Source organism: Homo sapiens, chromosome 1 (genome assembly GCF_000001405.40).
Source record: "Homo sapiens chromosome 1, GRCh38.p14 Primary Assembly".
Classification (NCBI taxonomy): domain Eukaryota; kingdom Metazoa; phylum Chordata; class Mammalia; order Primates; family Hominidae; genus Homo; species Homo sapiens.
The window spans coordinates 30,083,567-30,101,753 of NC_000001.11; positions in this window are offsets into that span (position 1 = coordinate 30,083,567).

Genomic DNA, 18,187 nt, shown 5'->3' on the forward strand with positions numbered 1-18,187 from the left:
CACATTAAAAAGGCACAAGCCTGGCCTCTGGGAGGCACCCCAGAAGGTGCTGAGGACTGTGAAGGGGTCAACATGAGCTGGACAGAGCCCCTCCAAAGTTCCAGGCCCTGTGCCAGCTCTGGGCCACCAAGGGAAACCTGGCCTGCGCCCTGTCCTTGAGAAGTTCACACCGGGAAGGGAAGACAGATGAGTGTGATCAGCAGGGCACGGGGAAGGCAGCAGCAAGAGAACCAGGATCCCCAGGCCCCTCCGTGTGCCAGGCTCCACATGCCTGCTTCCTCTATGCCTGCTGGGTAGATGCAATGATCCTCCCGAGAGGCAGAGCCAGCCACACAGCACAGACAGGGCTGGGCCGGGGCTGGACCCCAAGCCTCCAGGCCTGGCTTTGGGATGGTGGTCGGTGGGGCAGCCATTCCATGGCTTCACTCCAGCGAGACCCCATCGAGCCAGGTCTCACACAGCCATGCCAAAGATCTGACATATTCTTAGCTACAATCCTGAGTCTGGGAGAGAAGCAGGAAATGACTCACCCTCTTTCTCCAACATAAACACAACTCTGTGCTATTAATATTTACCCAGGGGCTTCTCCAAGGGCCCCAAACAGCAAAAGGATCCTGGTGAGGGAAGGGTATGAAAGATATGTCGGGTCTGCAGCTGCCTTCAAATGGAGCAGAGAGACTGAGTGCCAGAGTGAAAGGGAGCCTCACAGCTCTCTCCGTCCTCCCCATTTGACTGAGGTCCAGAGAGGACAGGGAGCCAAGAAAATCCAGCAGGGCGGTGGCAGAGGAGGGAGCAGAAGGTGGGAGCACGGGAAGTGGAACGAGCACAGGGCTGTGGGCCCCTGGCCCTCATCTGTCAAATGGGAAAGCAGGAACTGGTTTGAGGATGTTTCCCTGAGATGTCAAATGGCCCCTCTGAGTGTCTGGCAAAGAATAGGTACTGCACAAACTCATCATGGTGAGGGCAAAGTCATGGTGAGGATGCCAGTGGTCTTCCCTGCCCCGACTTCCCAGTGTGCTTTGCACCGCCTCCCAAAACCCTGTTTCTGCTTGGTGACCCTGCCCTGCTCCCCACCCCATCAGTGCATTGGACCAGGAGAAGATACCTGCCCAGGCTTGGCCAATCAGAGTACCTGTGCTACCAATTCTAAATTGAGACAGAGAGCCTGGTTGGGTCTTCTGGTTGTGTGAACTACTGATGCATGCATTTCTGATTCGTGAGAAATGGGAAAAGTAGAGACCTGACCTGAAGTCTTATGAGGTGGGTGGAAGAGAGTCAGTCTGCATTCTGGCTGGTGCTCCTGTCTCCGGTCCGGGTCCCTCCTGAGTTCTGGCTGCATCTGAGAGACCAGGGTCCTTATGCCAAACCCCCTCTTCTCTGCAGCTGAGCAGATTCTGTCACTTGTGACTCAAGCAGCCCTGATTCCCACGAGGAAGAAGAACTTCCTGATCGTCAGAGGGGTCCAGAGCCAGGTGGGCACTGACCTCAGAAGGAAGATCACTGAGGTCCATGGGAGGGCGGGAATCCCGCGGTGCTGGGGCCCAGGCCCTGCACCCTGGTGGCTGGGGTGTCCTAGGGCCTCTCTCCTAATTAACCTCCTCTCCGCTGTTTTCTCCCTCCTGCTCCATGTCCCTTCTTTCCTCATCTCCCACACCCAGCCCCTCCCGAGATCATCCATTCATCCCTTAGGCAGCATCTATAGCCCACTTGTGGCTGTTCATCCACTGGGCTGGCCACCCTGGGGACGCAGAGAGGGACAAGGCCGTGTCCCTGTCCTCAGGGAGCCTCCGGTCTGGCTGGCGGAACAGACACAGAATCAATCACAGCCCAGCCTGGCCAGTGCTGAGATGGGGGAAGATGTGGGAGGGGCTGGGGAGCTAGGGGCAGGCCAGGCCCTGGACATGGAGAAGGGGAGGACTTCTGAGAGGAGGTGGTGTCTATGCTGAGACCTGAAGGAGAAGTCGGGGAGCCAGGGGAAGAGGCTCAGGGGGAGAAGGTTACTGCAGCAGCCCAGCACAGGCAGGGCACTGGCAGAGAGGGGGAGCCTGGTGCCCTTGGAAACGGCAAGCAGTTCTGCTTGGCCAGGGCAGGGTGGGGAGGGTGGGGAGGTGTGGAAAGATGGGGCTGGGGTCCACCTGGGTCAGACCACAGAGGGCATAGGGAGGGCTATGGGAGGAAGTGACCTCTCTGTAAGCATGGAGGAGCGGGTGTTCCAAGAGGATCTGGGCTCCTCAGACCTCCTGAATAGCGAGGAGGGGAGGAGGCTTCTATCTTCCTCCCTCCCTCTGGCCTCCTCTCTCTCTCTCTCTCTCTCCTCTTTAACTCTTACTCCACCTAGATGAACCAGCTCAGATGCCACCCACTCTCCCCTCTCTCTGTCTTTCTCCCCCTCCTCTCCCCTCACTTCTCCTCTTTTGTCCTCTCCTTCGCTTATACTCCCCCTTCCCCCATTTCTCTCCCTCCCTCCTTCCCTCCCCATTCCCCTCCCTCTCTCTGCAGACCCCTCCCCACCTCCTCCCGGCCCCGCCCAGCCGCGCTTGTGAGGTCCTGCAGCGCCACCTTCAGGCCGCGGCCGGGAGCGGTGCCGGTGCGGGGCGCCCCACCAGGAGGAGGTGGCGGAGGTCCCGGGGGCCGCCCCGCCTCGCAGCCTGGGCTCTGCCTGCTCTGCGTCCACGCCAGCATAAGCCCCAGCCGGCTCCGTCTCCCCTAACGACTCTAATTACCAGCCAAGCTCGGCTCCCCAAGGCCCAGGCGCCAGAACTGATGACTTTAATAACAGAATCCCTTCCCTTTCACGGCCTGCTCCGGGGGCCGCTGGCCTGAGGATGCAGCGATCTCTGCTGTCCTGGGAGGGCGGGGTCCCACGGGGGTTCTACACCCTCTTACACATGGGGAGGGGGGGCTCAGCCAGGGCAGTGAGGGGAGAATCGCTTAGGGTGGCCTAAGAGAGCCTGGCGCCGCGCGCTTGTTCATCTATGGCAAAAACCGCAATAACTTTTGCACCAACTTAATATTTGATCGATGATCACTCAGGGACATCACCCTGAACTTAACGGGTCCTGGGACCAGACACCCAGAGATGAAAAGACAGTGGGGTACAGTTCTAGCGCTGGGTGATTGAAGCTACGACACTGGCCTGTGACAATTCCTGCGGGGCCCAGAGAAGGTGCTGGCACCCCGGGGGGGCTATCAGAAGCGTGAGGGAGGGGGCTCTGAACTGGCTTCAGAGTGGGTGGCATCTGGGCCGGTTCATCTAGGTGGAGTAAGAGTTTGCAGGGGAAAGACGATGAGAAGGGCATTCCAGGCAGGCGGCAGTTGCCCAGAGGCGTGGAGGCTGGAAAGAGCAGAGGCTTTCAGAGATGGGGAGTCCTGTGTGGCTGAAAATGGAGGGGAAAGGGGGGGTTAGGCTGGGGGACCATCAGGTGTCAGACTGGAAAGGACTCTGGGTGCTTTTTGCTAGCCCTGTATCTATATTCAGTACTGATACAATATAAGCTAATAGCAACAATCATACAAATTATTATTATTACTATTAATATTATAGCCACTAATACTTATTAAGGGCTTTCTGTCTGCCAGGTGCTCTCTCAAGCACTTTATGTCTATTGACTGAATTAATTTTTATGACAGCCCCATGAGGTAGGCACGATTGGAGAAACAGGCACAGAGACGTTAAATAACTTGTCTAAGATGGCTCAGGTACTGAATGGCAGAGCATCCTCTCTCCAGAGCCAGCTTTCTTTACTTTCACAGCACCCTTGGCCCACCCCCACCCCAAAACTTCCAATTTAATTTTTCTTAGATTCTGTCTCCCAAGGAGAAAAGCACCTCCACCCATTTCCCCAGGGATCAGAGGCAATTTGTAGTTTGGAAGAAAAACCAAAGGGCCTGGAGAAAGCAACATTTAACCCAAAGCCATGATTTGCCCATGCTGGGCTCTCGGGCATTAGCTGGGGACAAGCTGGCTGGATCAGCAGTCTGGGGCTGCCTGTCCTCCAGCATCGAGTCCCCGGGCCTGGCTAAGGTTGCCTCTTTTCCATCCTCACCCCAGGAAGCCTTTGGCATTTCCAGAAAGAGGAACTACTGCCCAGCTACTGCCCCTGGTGGAGGCACTGGCAGATCTGCACTGAAGGTGGGATGCAAAATCTACCTCTTTATAGTGTTGAGAATCCAGCCCCAGGCTCTGCCTCTGAGAGCCCTGGGAAGACAGGGGTTTTCAAGAGCTCGTCACCAGCCTAGAGGTGTTCTTTGGCTGGGCCGAGAATGGGTGTCATCTCGAAATTAGACTTGCAACTATACACCTTTCCCTTAACTGAGCCAGAGCGTTGTTTCTGTTGCAACACTGGGTTGGAGAGAAAGAAATGAGAGAAAATTGACTTGTTTCCAGTAATGCTCCAGAAAGCAAGTGTGGAGTCTGCTTTGTGATTTTGGATTATTTTTTTTTCTTCCTTCCTTTCTATATCTGTGCTTTATCATGACTAGAATAGGGATGATGCCATGTGAGGAGAAATGGAGGTGACAGGACTAGGCATCTGGGCCAGACTAGATCTTCCAGTGGAGAGACCCAGCCAGGCTTGGGGCCTCTGTGATGGCCAGGGAAGTCAAGTCTAGCCTTGGTGAGGACACAGGTGGTGCTGGGCTTTAATGACAGGGAAGAAGGCACAGGATAGAGAGAGGCTCAAGAAGGGCAAGAACAGCCTTGTCTCCTCCCTGCCCCGCCCACTTTATGCTGCAGGTGCAATGGCTGGTCCCTGCTCCTTCTGCAGGCCAGGCCCATCCATGCCCTGCCTCTTTGCACATGCTGCCTCCCTGCCAGGAATGCCCTTCTCCGTTCATCCCTCCAGCCACGTTTTCCCTCCTCCGTGCAGTCTTCTGAGGCTGCTCTCTACAACCCATATACACAACTCATATACACATAGCACTTTTTTTTTTTTTTTGAGACAGAGTCTCGCTCTGTCACCCAGGCTGGAGTGCAGTGGTGCCATCTCGGCTCACTGCAACCTCTGCCTCCTGGGTTCAAGCCATTCTCCTGCCTCAGCCTCCCCAATAGCTGAGACTACAGACGCGTACCATCACGCCCACCTAATTTTTTGTGTGTTTTTAGTAGAGACGAGGTTTCACCATGTTGGCCAGGCTGGTCTTGAACTCCTGACCTCAAGTGATCCACCCGCCTCCGCCTCCCAAAGTACTGAGATTACAAGCGTGAGCCACTACGCCTGGCCTACACATAGCTCTTTAAGATCTTCCCAGCCCCAGCATTCTCACTTGTAGAAACTCCTCCCCCCATCAGATCAAACATAGTAAAATGCCCTAACAGCCCACATTAACTACAGATTATACGCGACTATGCAAAAGCTGAGTTGGAAAGGAAGGTGACCATTTGATAATGTTATACTTTGTAGACATTTGATTAAACATTGATCTATTTCGACTTCACAGCTTCCCTTTTATAATTTGAAGCCAAATAAATTGTTTTCCCAGACCTTCAACATTTTCACAGGCCCTTAAGAGCCCTTAGGTCTTGGCACTGTGCCCAGAACAGAGAGTCTACCGGAGAAACGCTCCCATCAGACTCAGGCTGGGCTATGGCAGGTGGAGTTTGGCTTCTCGGGCTTGTTAGAGGGAGACCGTCTCCTCCAGCGGCCCTGCCCTGAACCCGGGCTGCTTCCTTGATCTAATTAGCATCGCTGAGAATTAAACTGCACACTGGAGCGTGCTCGTGCTCCCCCGAGGGCGTCCCAGAACTAACACTGCTTAAATATGAAATGGTTCCTGCCCTTGGGGCCTGAGTCAAGGAGGCATGAACCAGAAACAACAGTTGTGATTACTAGCTCTGATTAAAGCAGTGTAAGTTATACAGTACAATAAAATAAAACTCTTGCAGCAATAAAATAGTTAACAGTACTCTGAGTTATTTCTCTTTTCTTTGAAGGGAGCACAGGCTGTTTATTTTTTACTCTGTATTCTGATGATTCCGCTTATTCATCCAGGTCATTTACTGATCACCTACTATGCGATAGGCATATACTGGGTGCAGGGAAGAGAAAGAACTACGTCAAGATGCCTACACTGCTGGGGGCTCAGAGTCAGGAGGGGACTGTGGCCGTCCAAGGACAATTCACACAGATAAGCCTACCTTGGGATGGAGCCAAACACACCATGTGCAACAGATTACCTGAGAGGATAATGGGGGGACTAACTCAGATGGGGGTGATGTTAGGAGCTGATATTCAAGTTGAGGACTGAAAAAATGAATTACCTGAAGAGTGGGGACCAGAGTGATCTAGGTAGCAGGAACTGCCTGTGCAAAGGCCCTGGGTGGGAGGCAGTGTATTTGTTGGAGGGACTACAGAAGCCCTGGGGCGATGTGTGGGGAGGGGCAAGCATGGGGAGGAGGCAGCACCCAGCCCTGCAGCGCCTCTTGACTCAAGGCTCCCTGAGGGGCATAGAAGGGTTTTAAGCAAGGAAGTGGCCTGGTCTGATTTGTTGTGTTTAAATGACCCCTAGCTCTTCCAGGAGGTCAGAATGGGAGCAGGGGTCCAGTGAGGAGATGGAGGGGGACGTCCAGGCGGAGCTGATGGCAGCTTGGACCAGAGCAGGAACCGTAGGGGTCTGGGAATGAGGAATTTGTCCACACAACTCCGAGGTTTCTGGCTGAGAAGCCAGGTGGATGGAGCTGCCATTTCCCGAGTGGAGAAGCGGGGAAGGCAGGAGCAGGAGCAGCAGCAGGCTCGAGGCTGAGAGGCCAGCATGGGGCATATGACTCCAGGGCTGCATCCCCAGAGAAAGGGAGGGGCAGCCGGAGCATCCTGAGGGCATGCAGGGAGAAGCTGCTGGAGACCTTGTGTGAGTGTCCTCTCTGGACAGCAGTGTGAGCCTCCTGGGAGAGTGGACAGAGGGTACAGAAAGGATCAGGCTGAGGGGTGGTGACTGCCTTCACCCCCTCCAGCACCCCCCATGTCTGTGGCTTCCAGAGAGGCCCCTGGGGGTGGCTGTGGAGGGGCTCTGGCTGGTGGGAGGGCCTGGGGCTGCTGCGGTTGGTCTGCTGAGCTCTGCTTCTTCCCCACTTTGTCACCTGCCGGCCCTCCGATGGCCGGCCAAGGCCCAACTCTGTCCCATGCTTGGGCTCTGACTCCCAAAATGGCTGGGGCCAGGTTTGTGGAGGGCAGGCTGAGAGCTAAGGTGAAGGGCCACTTACTCCCAGCCCATCTGCAGCTGTAATCCTGGCCTCCCCATGTCCCTGCCCTCAGCTGCCCTAGATATCTCTCAGTGAGTACGGAGATAAACCCTCCAAATCTCCATCCCTCTCTCCCTGCAACATGTCTGCATTCCCAGGGCTACGAGGGGCTGCTGCCCATTGGTTTCATTTGATTTGCTGTGTTTATTTATAAGCTTTCTATTTCTCAAACCTGAATATCTCCCTCAAGCAAGTGAAATCTGCTCTGCCAAGGACTTTTATGAGAAGTTACAAATGACACATGGGAAAGCTAAGAGCAGGTTTATTTTTAAACTCTGGGCTCCGAAAGACACCCAGTCCATCCATCCATCAGCTCCCTCACTCTGGCGGAAACACTGGCTGATGTGCACAATATGCTTGGTCTTGCGCTGGGGGATGAGGGTACAGAGACACCAAGGACTGGACGTCCTGGATGAGCGCACAGTGTGGTTGGGCATGGGGAGGAGGTCGGGGCAGAAATAGGCTATCGCAGCATGGTGGAATCAACAACATTCATTCATTCTTCATTCAATAAATGCACGGATGGCTGTGCGCCAGGCACTCTTCTAGGCATAGAGGCTATGTTGTGAACATAACAAACTATATACACCACTGTCTCATGGCATCCCCAGTCTAGTAGGGAGACAGACGAGAAACAAACCTGCAAGTCCATAACCTGTCAGGGCATGGTCTCCAGGGAAGAAAAAGCAGGAGAAGGGAAGGGATGCAGAGGATGGAGGGTCTGGGACCTTTCCGTGGCGGTAGACCTCTCTGTAGCAGAGACCTGAGCAGAGACCTGAAGGGAGGGAGGGCATAGGTCCTGCAAACATCTGGGGCTTCCAGGAGACGATACAGCAAGTGCAAAGACCCCAGTGTGGGATCGTGCTAGCCATGCTCATGGAACGGCAGTGACTGGGAAATTTAATGATCTTGCTGACAGAGGAGGCACAGGGAGATTTGGGAACTCAGAGGAAGCTCTGCCCTGCTTGGGTGAGGGTGGATGAGCATTCAGGGCATCTTGAAGAATGAATAGGAGTTGGCTACCTGGGGAGTGTATGGAAAAGCATCTCTGAAGAAGAAACAGACACAGGTCACGGAGGAATGAAAGAACCTGGGCGTTTTGGCAGTGGGAGGTGGCAGGAGTGGGGAGGGGAGGGAGTAGGGTAAGGGTGGGGGCAGGAGGGAGCCAGAACAAGGAGGCCCTGCTAGGATGAGAGGAAGGTGCTTCCTTGCTGATCCTTAAACACTGTAGGTTTATTCCTACATCAGGGCCTTTGCACTTGCTGTTCCCTCTGGCTGCAATGCTCTTCCCCAGATATCTGCATAGCTCATTCCTGCATATGCTTTCTAGGCCTCTGCTCAAATGTCACCTTACCCCGATCCCCAACTAAGCACTCTATGTCTGAGCTCTTCCCCACACCTTCTTGCCCTTCCCTGCTCTGTTATTCTCTTAGCTATTATCATCCCTGCAGTGCACATCATGGACATCTCACCTGTTGATTGCCTGTCTTCATCCGGGAGAATGAAAGTTCCAGGAGGGCAGCAATTGTATCTCTTTGATCACTGCTGCATCCCCAAAGGTGATGCAATAGGTATTTGTAGAATGACTGAATGAATGGCCTTGTAAGTCAAGCCAAGGAGCAGGGAGCTTATCCTCAGAGCGCAGGGGAGCTGGCCAAAGCTTTGAAGGAGGGAAGTTATAGGGTCTGATTTAGGAAGATCTCCTGCCCAAATTGAAGGTTTGAGGCTGGGGACCAGTGAGGAGGCTGTGCTGCCCCCTCGGATTTATTAGAAATGCAAAATGCTTGTTCCCCGGTGCCACAAAGAAATAGCACTCAAACATAAATTTAATTTTCTCAGCAAGGCAATTTTTACTTTCTGCAGAAAGGGTGCTCTTCACAGATGGAACAATGGCGAGAGCACAACTGGACAGGGGAGGGGAAGGAGTTCTTATTCCTGACACAGGGCCCTATTGCTGTGTCTTTCCCCTATTGGAGTCACGCGCCCCACGCTGCCTCTCAGCCCCGAGCCTTCCCCACTTCTCCACTCGGGAAATAGCAGCTCCATCCACCCGGCTTCTCAGCCAGAAACCTGGGAGTTTTGTGGACAAATTCCTCATTCCCAGACCCCTACGGTTCCTGCTCTGGTCCAAGCTGCCATCAGCTCTGCCTGGACGTCCCCCTCCATCTCCTCACTGGGCCCCTGCTCCCATTCTGACCTCCTGGAGGAGCTAGGGGTCATTTTAAAAAGAATGGCTAAGGTTGGGGCGCACAGTCTAAGCTAATTCCTGTTGGCTATTTTAAAGAGAGCAGGGGTATGAGCCAGAGTGGCAGGGTAAGTAGTTTGGCGGGAAGGATGGTTAGAAACAGGTAACTTAGGTCAGAGCAGGTGACCAGGGGTGATTCAGGTCAAAGCACGTGACTGGGATGAGTCAGGACAGAGCAGATGACCAGGGGAACAGATGTGAACTACTGATTAAAACTGGTGGAAAAAGTTGTTTACTGAAACTAGAAGCAAGAGGGTAAGAGAACCGGGAAGTTAAGCTTTAAAATGGAGAATCAAAGAATAAGAGAGCTGAACATACTAACATACTGATTCTTTGAAGAGAAACTTGGGGTTCACTATATTTAACAGGTGTGAGCTGATGGCTGTGGACCATGGAAGTGGCAGTGGAGAGGCCAGAAGGGGGTGGAATGTGGAGACCCCAGGAGGTCTTGGCACCTGCTTGGCTGGGGATGTAGGAAGCTGGGCGATATACTGAGTTGCCAACCTCGGAGGCTGTTTGGGAGGCAGGGCAAGCTCAAGGGGTCAGAGGGGTCTAGATTTAGATGGGCTGCCCTAGAGGGCCTGTGGACCTCAGGTAATGCAGCAGGTCCCAGTGATAAAGAAACAGGATGTTGCCTGAACTATGACATGGGGAGGCAAAAGTGACGCTGCATCCAAAGGAGTGAGTGATGGATGGTGGCCCATGGGCATTTCTGCAGAGGGACGGTGGAACTAAAAGTGTTGCTGGTGGTGGTGGAGGGTGGGAAGGTGGAGGCTGATGCTCTGTGTGCATAAGTCCCAGAGCCCAGGTCAGATTGGAGCCGGTAGGCCACACCTTCCACAACCATCAAAAGAGAGAAAGAAACCCAAGGCTGTGTGTAGGGGAATGGGGTCATGGGGAGAGGGTCAGACACAGTTCACAGAACCCCAAGCCATGAGTGAGGTTCTAGGGGGTGGGCTGTTAGGACCAAACCACAAGCACAGAGACTGGGCCAGGGGAAGTCAGTGCTCACTCCTGTGCCACACCTTCGCGGTAGCATCCGTCTGTCCAGCATGGCCTGGCCCTTTTGCTGCCCCATGCGAGGCGGTTGAGGCCAGGAAGGCCCTCCCAGGCAGATCTCAAATCCCATCTGGCCTGGGACCCACCATCTCCACAGATGCAAGACTCTCTGTGCCCTGCTTCCCATCAGTCCCCAGCCCCATGCTGAGCCCAACCTCTCTTTTTGCTGGCATTTCAGAGCTGCAGCCCTTCTTATTTGTGATCAAGTGTTAATTTGGCACTCAGAGAGGCTCTGCTCTGAGTCCAGGTCAGCAGCTCTCAATACAGATGCTCTGCCATCCCTCCCTGGAGAGCTGGCCTGGCCATAGGAGCCAGTCCATAGGGAGGCAGGCGGTCCCAAGCAGGGCTGGGGGCTCATTCCCAGCCCAGCATCAGCCAGAGTGTGGGGGATAGGGCAGGGCCTGTGGCCAGGTCGGGGCTGAGCTCTGGAGGGGACATAGATAGCTCTCAGCTCTGCCCTTCCTGTGCATCTTGGGGAGAACTGCTGGCCCCTTCTGAGTCCTGGTTTCTTATTTGTAACACAGCAAAGCTAAGAGGGCAGTCCTGGCACAGGCCTTATGCACAGCAGGTGTACCATCAGCGGCAGCTGCTCCCAATATCATCGTCATGAGTTACCACAGACACCCCATCTCCCAGACAGTGCCCCAGGATGGAGTTTCTTCCTGCAGAGGCCTAAGGGCACAGAGTGAACCAGAAGCCCTGGCACAGACCTGAGGGTAGGGGCCTGGTGCCTGCGTGGATCTCAGATGGGGAACAGGGTGGGCAGTGGAAGGCCTCACCTGATGGGGGTATTTCCAGATGCCTCCATGTATGGATTTAATCCTCCCAGCTCCTTAAACCACACCCTCCTGTTTCTGTTCAAATGCCTAGGCGAGTGTCTATTTCTAGGAAGGGCTCCCCAGCCAGGGATCAGACATAGCCCAGCCACCCCCATCAGGTACCAAGCACCCTACCTGCCTGTCGTGCTCACCGTCTCCAGGACACTGATCTCATTTGCAGATGAAGGAACTGATCTCATTTGCAGATGAAGGAACAGAGAGGTAATGTGTCCAAGGTCACACCGCCAAGGAGGAGCTATGCCAGGTGCAGAGGCCTCCTGGCTGCTGAGTGGTAGGGCTGTGCTGGCCCCCTTGGGCTGGCCCAGGGCCTGTGCCTTGACCACATGGCTCCCCAGCCCCTCATGGTGGTCACCCACTGGACCCACCCAGGCCCTGCAAGATTGGCCTCATCATCCCCACTTTACAGATGAGGAAACTGAGGCTGCAGGGTAAGGAAGAGGCTCATGCAAGACCTGCGCCTAGAACCAGGATTCCAACCCAAGTCTGCTGCCCACAAAACCCAAGCCCTACATGGATCAACAGGGCACAGTCGGGAGGAGCCAGGGCAGGGTTGGCTTCCAGAACAGAAGCAGGGGTGGGCCAGGGAGGAGCCAGGGGTCTGGTGCCAGGACTCCCACCTAGGATGGTGGGAAGTGCCTTCATAGTCCCCCAGGTCAGCCCTGACTTCCCCACAGACGCCTCTCCCTGACATACAAAGCCCCAGCCCCGGCCAGGCCTTTCAGGGCCTTGGCCACTCCTGCCTCCATCCCAAGTAGCTGGGCCTCACTTGGCTGTATTAACACTGAGCTGCGGCCAAGGGGGAGCCCCGCATGTCCCGTTGGCCTTCAGGGCACAGCAGTGCTCAGTCCCAGTTTCCGGACCCTCTGCCCATGTGGCCAAGTCTGGTCCTGGATCCTGAAACCCACAGCTGCCAACTGTCACCTTGCGTCCAAGCTGCTCTTGCAGCACTTGGGCCCAGCCAGCCTTCCCTGGCCCTGTCTGCTCCCTGGAGCAACTGGCCACCCTGAGTGCCCTGCAGGGGCCCAGCGGTCCTTCTGCCCAACAGCCCCCCTTCCTCTCCCCCATCTTTCTTTGGGAACGGTCCCTCCCAACCCTGCTCAGTTCATGCAGTTCTGTGGGGTGGGTCTGGGCACAGCCAGGCGGGCCTTCCTTCCATCCCCTGTGCAGTGAGTGGATCAGTGACGGGCAGGCAACCCGAGCTGAGTCAGGGAAACCCATTGCTGGGATTTCTGCTATGGTGGTGAGGAAGGAGGCTCTCTAGGTCTTCTGCAGCAGATGGAGTGGCTGGGATGAGGCTTGGAGGACCCCACAGGGAGGTGTCGGGCATCTGAGTCCTTGTGGAATCAGGTAAGAACCTGGATCTCTCTTACACACACACACACACACACACACACGCACACACACACACACACACACACACACACACATGCTCCTTCTATGTGGACCAGCACTGACAGCACATCCTGCCGGGAGCAGTGGGGGATAAAACAATGAATTCCTAGCAGACCTCCTGAGCTGTGGAGGCATGGAGGGGTGGGGAGGGGAGAGGCAGGGAGGTTAGGGAAGGGAAGGAGATACTGGTGACCACCCCTGCCCCTGGCACCCCGGGTTATGATGCCCCACAATGGTCCAGCCCCTAATGCCATGATAGGGCTGGGCTGGGCCATTGCGGGACATCATGGTCAGAGGGAAGCAGGGGCAGTGGATCCAGGACCTTCTCTTTCTGCTCTGCCAGCCACAGCTACCATATGGGGCAGCCCTGGGCACTCACCTGGGGCCTGCAGGGTTGGGTCCTGGACGCCTGCCTGCTCCTCGCCCCAGTCTGAGGAGGAAGACACCCAGGCTGTGGAAGCCACAGAAGGGCGTTAGGCAGGAAAGCAACGTGATCGACCTGTGTTTGGGACAATCACTCTGCCTGGTGATCCAGCTGTCCCCAGCATTTGTGCAGCCCAGGGCATGAGAACCAGTGGAGGGCATGGGCCAGTGACTGAGCATGGAACTTCACAAGTCACATCTGTTAAATCCAACATGCTCCATTCCCCTGCTTGTACTGACACATTTTCAAAAGGGCCTGGAAGGCCAGGTTTGAATTTGGAATTCCTGGACCCCTCAGCATTCTGCTTTGCACTGTGGTGGTGTTGAGAAATTGGGACTGACCAACTTGGGACCAGTCCCCCTCCCCTCCCCTCCCATGGCCCAGTCCCACATCACAGTCTCACACATTATGTGACACCCCACCCTGCAGGTCGATGCTGTATTTGTATACCTCCTCACACACAGCTGCACGTCTGGGGTCAACAGCTGGGCACAATGGCACAGAGAAGAGGCCATGTGGGTCCTGGGAGCAGGCAGGGATTCTGGGGCTGGGGTATCTGGAGCTAGAGCAGGGCCCCCTAAACCTGGGCCCCCCTCACTCAGATCTCAGGGTGTGCAGGGTGGATGGATTGCAGGGCAGGTGGGGCTGAGGAACAAGTAGGAGGGCGTGGGGATGTCTGGGCCAGAGATCACCAGTTCTGAGATGGGGGAGAGGGAGGGGGTAAGGGAGAGGGGAATCCCAGGGGTGTAAGGTGTTAAAACTGGCAGGACCGGATGGTGCCCACGGTGTGGGGAGAGGGAGAGTTGGGGATGCCTGCTTATTTCCGACTGGGGTGAGCAGGGGCTGTAGGGCACAAGGCTGAGGAGCAATTTGATGGGAAAATGAAGGTTTGGTTTTGAATGTGTCCAGTGGAAAGAGGTTGTGGGCCACCCAGAGGGCAGCAGCTGCAGGAGCCCCAGATAGAAAGGTCCAGAAGGCAGGGTGGCCTGTCTGGCTCAGCACTGCATGGGTAGCACTTAGAGTCCCTTGATATGGACCACAGCTCAGGAAGAGCTTCAACAGGAGGTGTTCTGGGCATGGGTAGTGGGGACCCATGGATGTAGATGAGCTCATACAGAAGAAGAAGAGAGGAGGGTGCTGGGGAGAACTGGGACACTGGCTGCATTAGTCCATTTTCATGCTGCTAATAAAGACATACCCAAGACTGGGAATAAAGAGATGTTTAATAAATGTACAGTTCCACATGGCTGGGGAGGGCTCACAATCAATGGTGGAAGGCAAGGCGGAGCAAGTCACGTCTTACATGGAAGGAGGCAGGCAAACAGAGAGAGCTTGTACAGGGGAACTCCTCTTTATAAAACCATCAGATCTCCTGAGACTTATTCACTATCATGAGAACAGCACGAGAAAGAACCACCCCTATCATTCAATTACCTCCCACTGGGTCCCTCCCACAACACATGGGAATTGTGGGAGCTACAATTCAAGATGAGATTCGGGTGGGGACACAGAGCCAAACCATATCAGGCTGCTGTAACAGAAACAGACTGGTGGCTTAAACAACAGAGATTTATTTTCTCACAGTTTTGGAGCCTGGAATTCCAAGATCAGGGTGCCAGTGTGATCGGGTTCTGGCGAGGCCTTTCTTCCTGGCTGTGAATGGCCATCGTCTTGCTGTGTCTTCACATGACGGCGAGAGAGAGAGAGCAAGCTTGCTGGAGTCTCTTCTTACAAGGGCACCAACCCTACCACGAGGCCCCACCCTCATGACCTCATCTGAATCTAATTTCCTCCCAAAGTCCCCATCTCCAAATGCCATCACATTTTGAGTTAGGGATCAGCACATGAATTTGAGGGGACACAGTCAGTCCACAGGGAGCACCAAGCTATAAGGAATGAGGAGAGAAAGAGAGGTGAGAAAGTGGGCCTGAAGGGGAGGAACAAGTCTGGGATAGGGTGGCAGAGTCTTGGAAGGACACCAGATGTGGGTATAGCATGGGGATGAGGGCAGAAGTTTCTTCCCCAACAACCCTAAGAAGTCAGACTGTGATAACTGCTATCCAGTCATTTAAACAAGGTGCACTGGAGGCTTGTGCCACAGGACATTGATTTCCACTGAAATTGAAAGAAGCCTCATAGAAGTTCTCCTTTTAACCTTGGCTTCCAAGAAGGTGGGGTAGGATTGCAACTGGCAGAACTGGGGAGATAGATGGGGTGGTGGGTGAGGTGGGACATGCAGGGCACAGGGCTGGAATGCTGAGGGAGCTGGTACGTCCAGGGCAAAGGGTTCAGTAGACAGGGCTAGATTTGGGCAAAGGGCACTAAACAGAAGGTGTCAGGCCAGTGGAAATAAAAAGAGAAGATCTGAAGAGGAACAAGAGACAGAAATATTCGGATGCTCACGATGTAGCAGGCGGCCCAGGGCAGGGACAGGTGCTGCTGCTGGGGAAATGAAGAGATGGTCTTGGGATTACATAGCCTTGGATTCTCCAGCCTTAGATGAGAAGCAAGATGAAATCATACTATCTGAAAGCCTTAGCATCTAATGAAGTCTTACAATTTTAGGATACTTGAATCATAGACTCTCAGAGACTTTGGTTTTTAAAATCACAGAAATGTTGAATCTTAAATCTCTTTAGTGTCAAAATCTTGACCACCTCCTCCTCCTGGGTATGATAATATGCATTCTGCGCTCAGCGCCTTGCACACATGTCATTTAGTCCCCATGACAACCCTGGGAAGTAGGAATGATTATTTTGCCTGATTTTCCAGATGAAGAAACTGCGGCTCAGTGAGGGTAAGTCAGTTGCTGAAGGTCAGGCACCTGGTGGGCAGCATGGCTGGGGCTCGGCCCAGATCTCTGGGCCTCCGAAGCCCATGGTCTCAGCCTCTCTGCTACTTTGCCTCCTGCAAAACCTCTCTGCTGAGTGCTCACCCATCCTCCATGCACGCCTCCAGTGACGGGGAGCTCATTACCTTCCCCAGGGCCGCCCATCCATCCCAACTTTTGACACATCCCTTCTTCTCACCCATTGGCCCCCAATCTGTCTTGGGAGACCACGCAGAAGACAAACCTTTTTCCAGGACTCCTGGAGGGGGAGGGCGCAGCTACCTGCTGTGGGGCAGCGACTATACAGGAGAGAGGATTTGAATTAGAAAAGCCCCGATGCCGCCCATCCTGGCGAGAGATGGGGTTTAACCCGAGGGAGGGAAGCAACCAGAGACACCAAAGCAGGTCCCCCAGAAGACAAATGGTGATGGAGCCCAGAACATGGGGAAGGCAGCCAGACAGGGGGAGCAGAGAACGCAGGAATGCGATTCTCCTCCACAGAGTTATGGCGCCTAATGAGATTGGAATCGTAAGTGCTTTTATTTCCTTAGCTCTTTTCTCTGAAAACTTATTCTGCAAATTGTGCCTTGTGTCATCCATCCTCCCAGATGGCTTTTTAAGTGAGGCTGTTTGTTAAGTGGGAGAAGAACAGGGAGATTAATCAGGAGAAGCGAACAGGAAGAGCTGCTGCAAATCCTGGGGAAGGAGACACAACCGGACCAGCAAGTGCGATGAGAGTGTGCAAAGAGAGCCCGTGGTGGGCCGGTGGGGTGGGGGGGGCGGTCCCCAGAAGACATGGAGCACGTCCTTCCAGGATGAGACCATTGGGCACAGCTGAGTCCACATGACCAGGGTTCCAGTGACAGTCACTGACAGATACTGGGCTCCAGTGTGAGCCCTGGGTGAGCACTTCGGAGTCACTGGTCCCAAACGTCCTCCCACATCCCCAAGCAGCAGGTACTATGACTGTCCTCAGTCACCAGAAGAGCCCAGAGAGGGGCAGGCACTTGTCCAAGGTCACATAGGTGGTGAGAGGCTGACTAGGGATTGGAGCCCAGGGCTGCCGGACTCCAGAGCCCCAGCTCTTGACAGGGATGTCACAACACACAGCTGCAGACTGACAGTCAGAACCTCTGGGCTTAGGGCCCAGATATCTGTGTCCTTAAAAGTCCCACCCTATTCTCGGATGCCTTAAAGCACACCCAAGGTTGAGAACCCCTGAGCTGCCCCAACCACCTCATTGTACAGACAGAGACACGGACAGCCTGAGCAGGGACAGCACTTGCACAGGGTCACAACGCAGGTCAGAGGGCCTAGAACCGTCGCCCCATTCCCTGGTGAATTCTCAAGGTGAGTGTTCGCAGAGCCGATCGCAGCGGAGGCATGAAGAGGTAGAACTGTCCCGGGCTGCACATCTGCGGCCTCCCAGAGGGAGGGCCTGATGGATTCTGTTTCCACCTCTGCATCTCGAGGCCTCTTTTTCCCCCTCCTTCCTCGGGGCAGCCCCCCTTCTCCTCCCAAGCCATGCTTTGGGGGCCAAGATGGATCACAGCTGTCCCTGCCCACAGATGGTGCGTCCACCACCCTGTGGCAGCCAGTGTAGCCCGGGATGCCCCGCAGCGGCTCAGTGAGTGATTAGGGAAGGGAAGGAGGAAGGGCCTGGGGAGGGGCATGGCTCCGGGACAGGGGGCACAGTGGAAAGCACAGCATCTTCCTCTTGAGGCAGCCCCAGACCAGACCCTGCACTGTGTCCTCCCAAGCTTCAAATCACACATGTCATACCAACCAGGAAGGGACATGGGCGTCTCAAACAATGAATAATGCTGGAAACTGGCAGCCACCTTATACTTGCAAATGGGGTCTTTGCCTCCCCAGAGAAAGGGGTGTCTGCCCCATTTCTTAGGCCATGGCAGAGACCTTCAAGGTGGTGGGAGAAGGTAGGCCAGGGCAGCCTCCCTTCACAGTGAGCCTGGGTCCTCCTAGGTGGACTCTTACCTGACTGGTTGCTGTGATCCCATTTCTGTCTCTAAAATGGTTAATTCTCTGGCCCAGGCTGGCCCCGCCCACAAGCTGGGATGGCCCCACCCACAAGCTGGGATGGCCCTGCCCACAGGAGGCCGTCCTCATCCTGCAGACTTTCAAGCCACTGACCTCCTTCCCT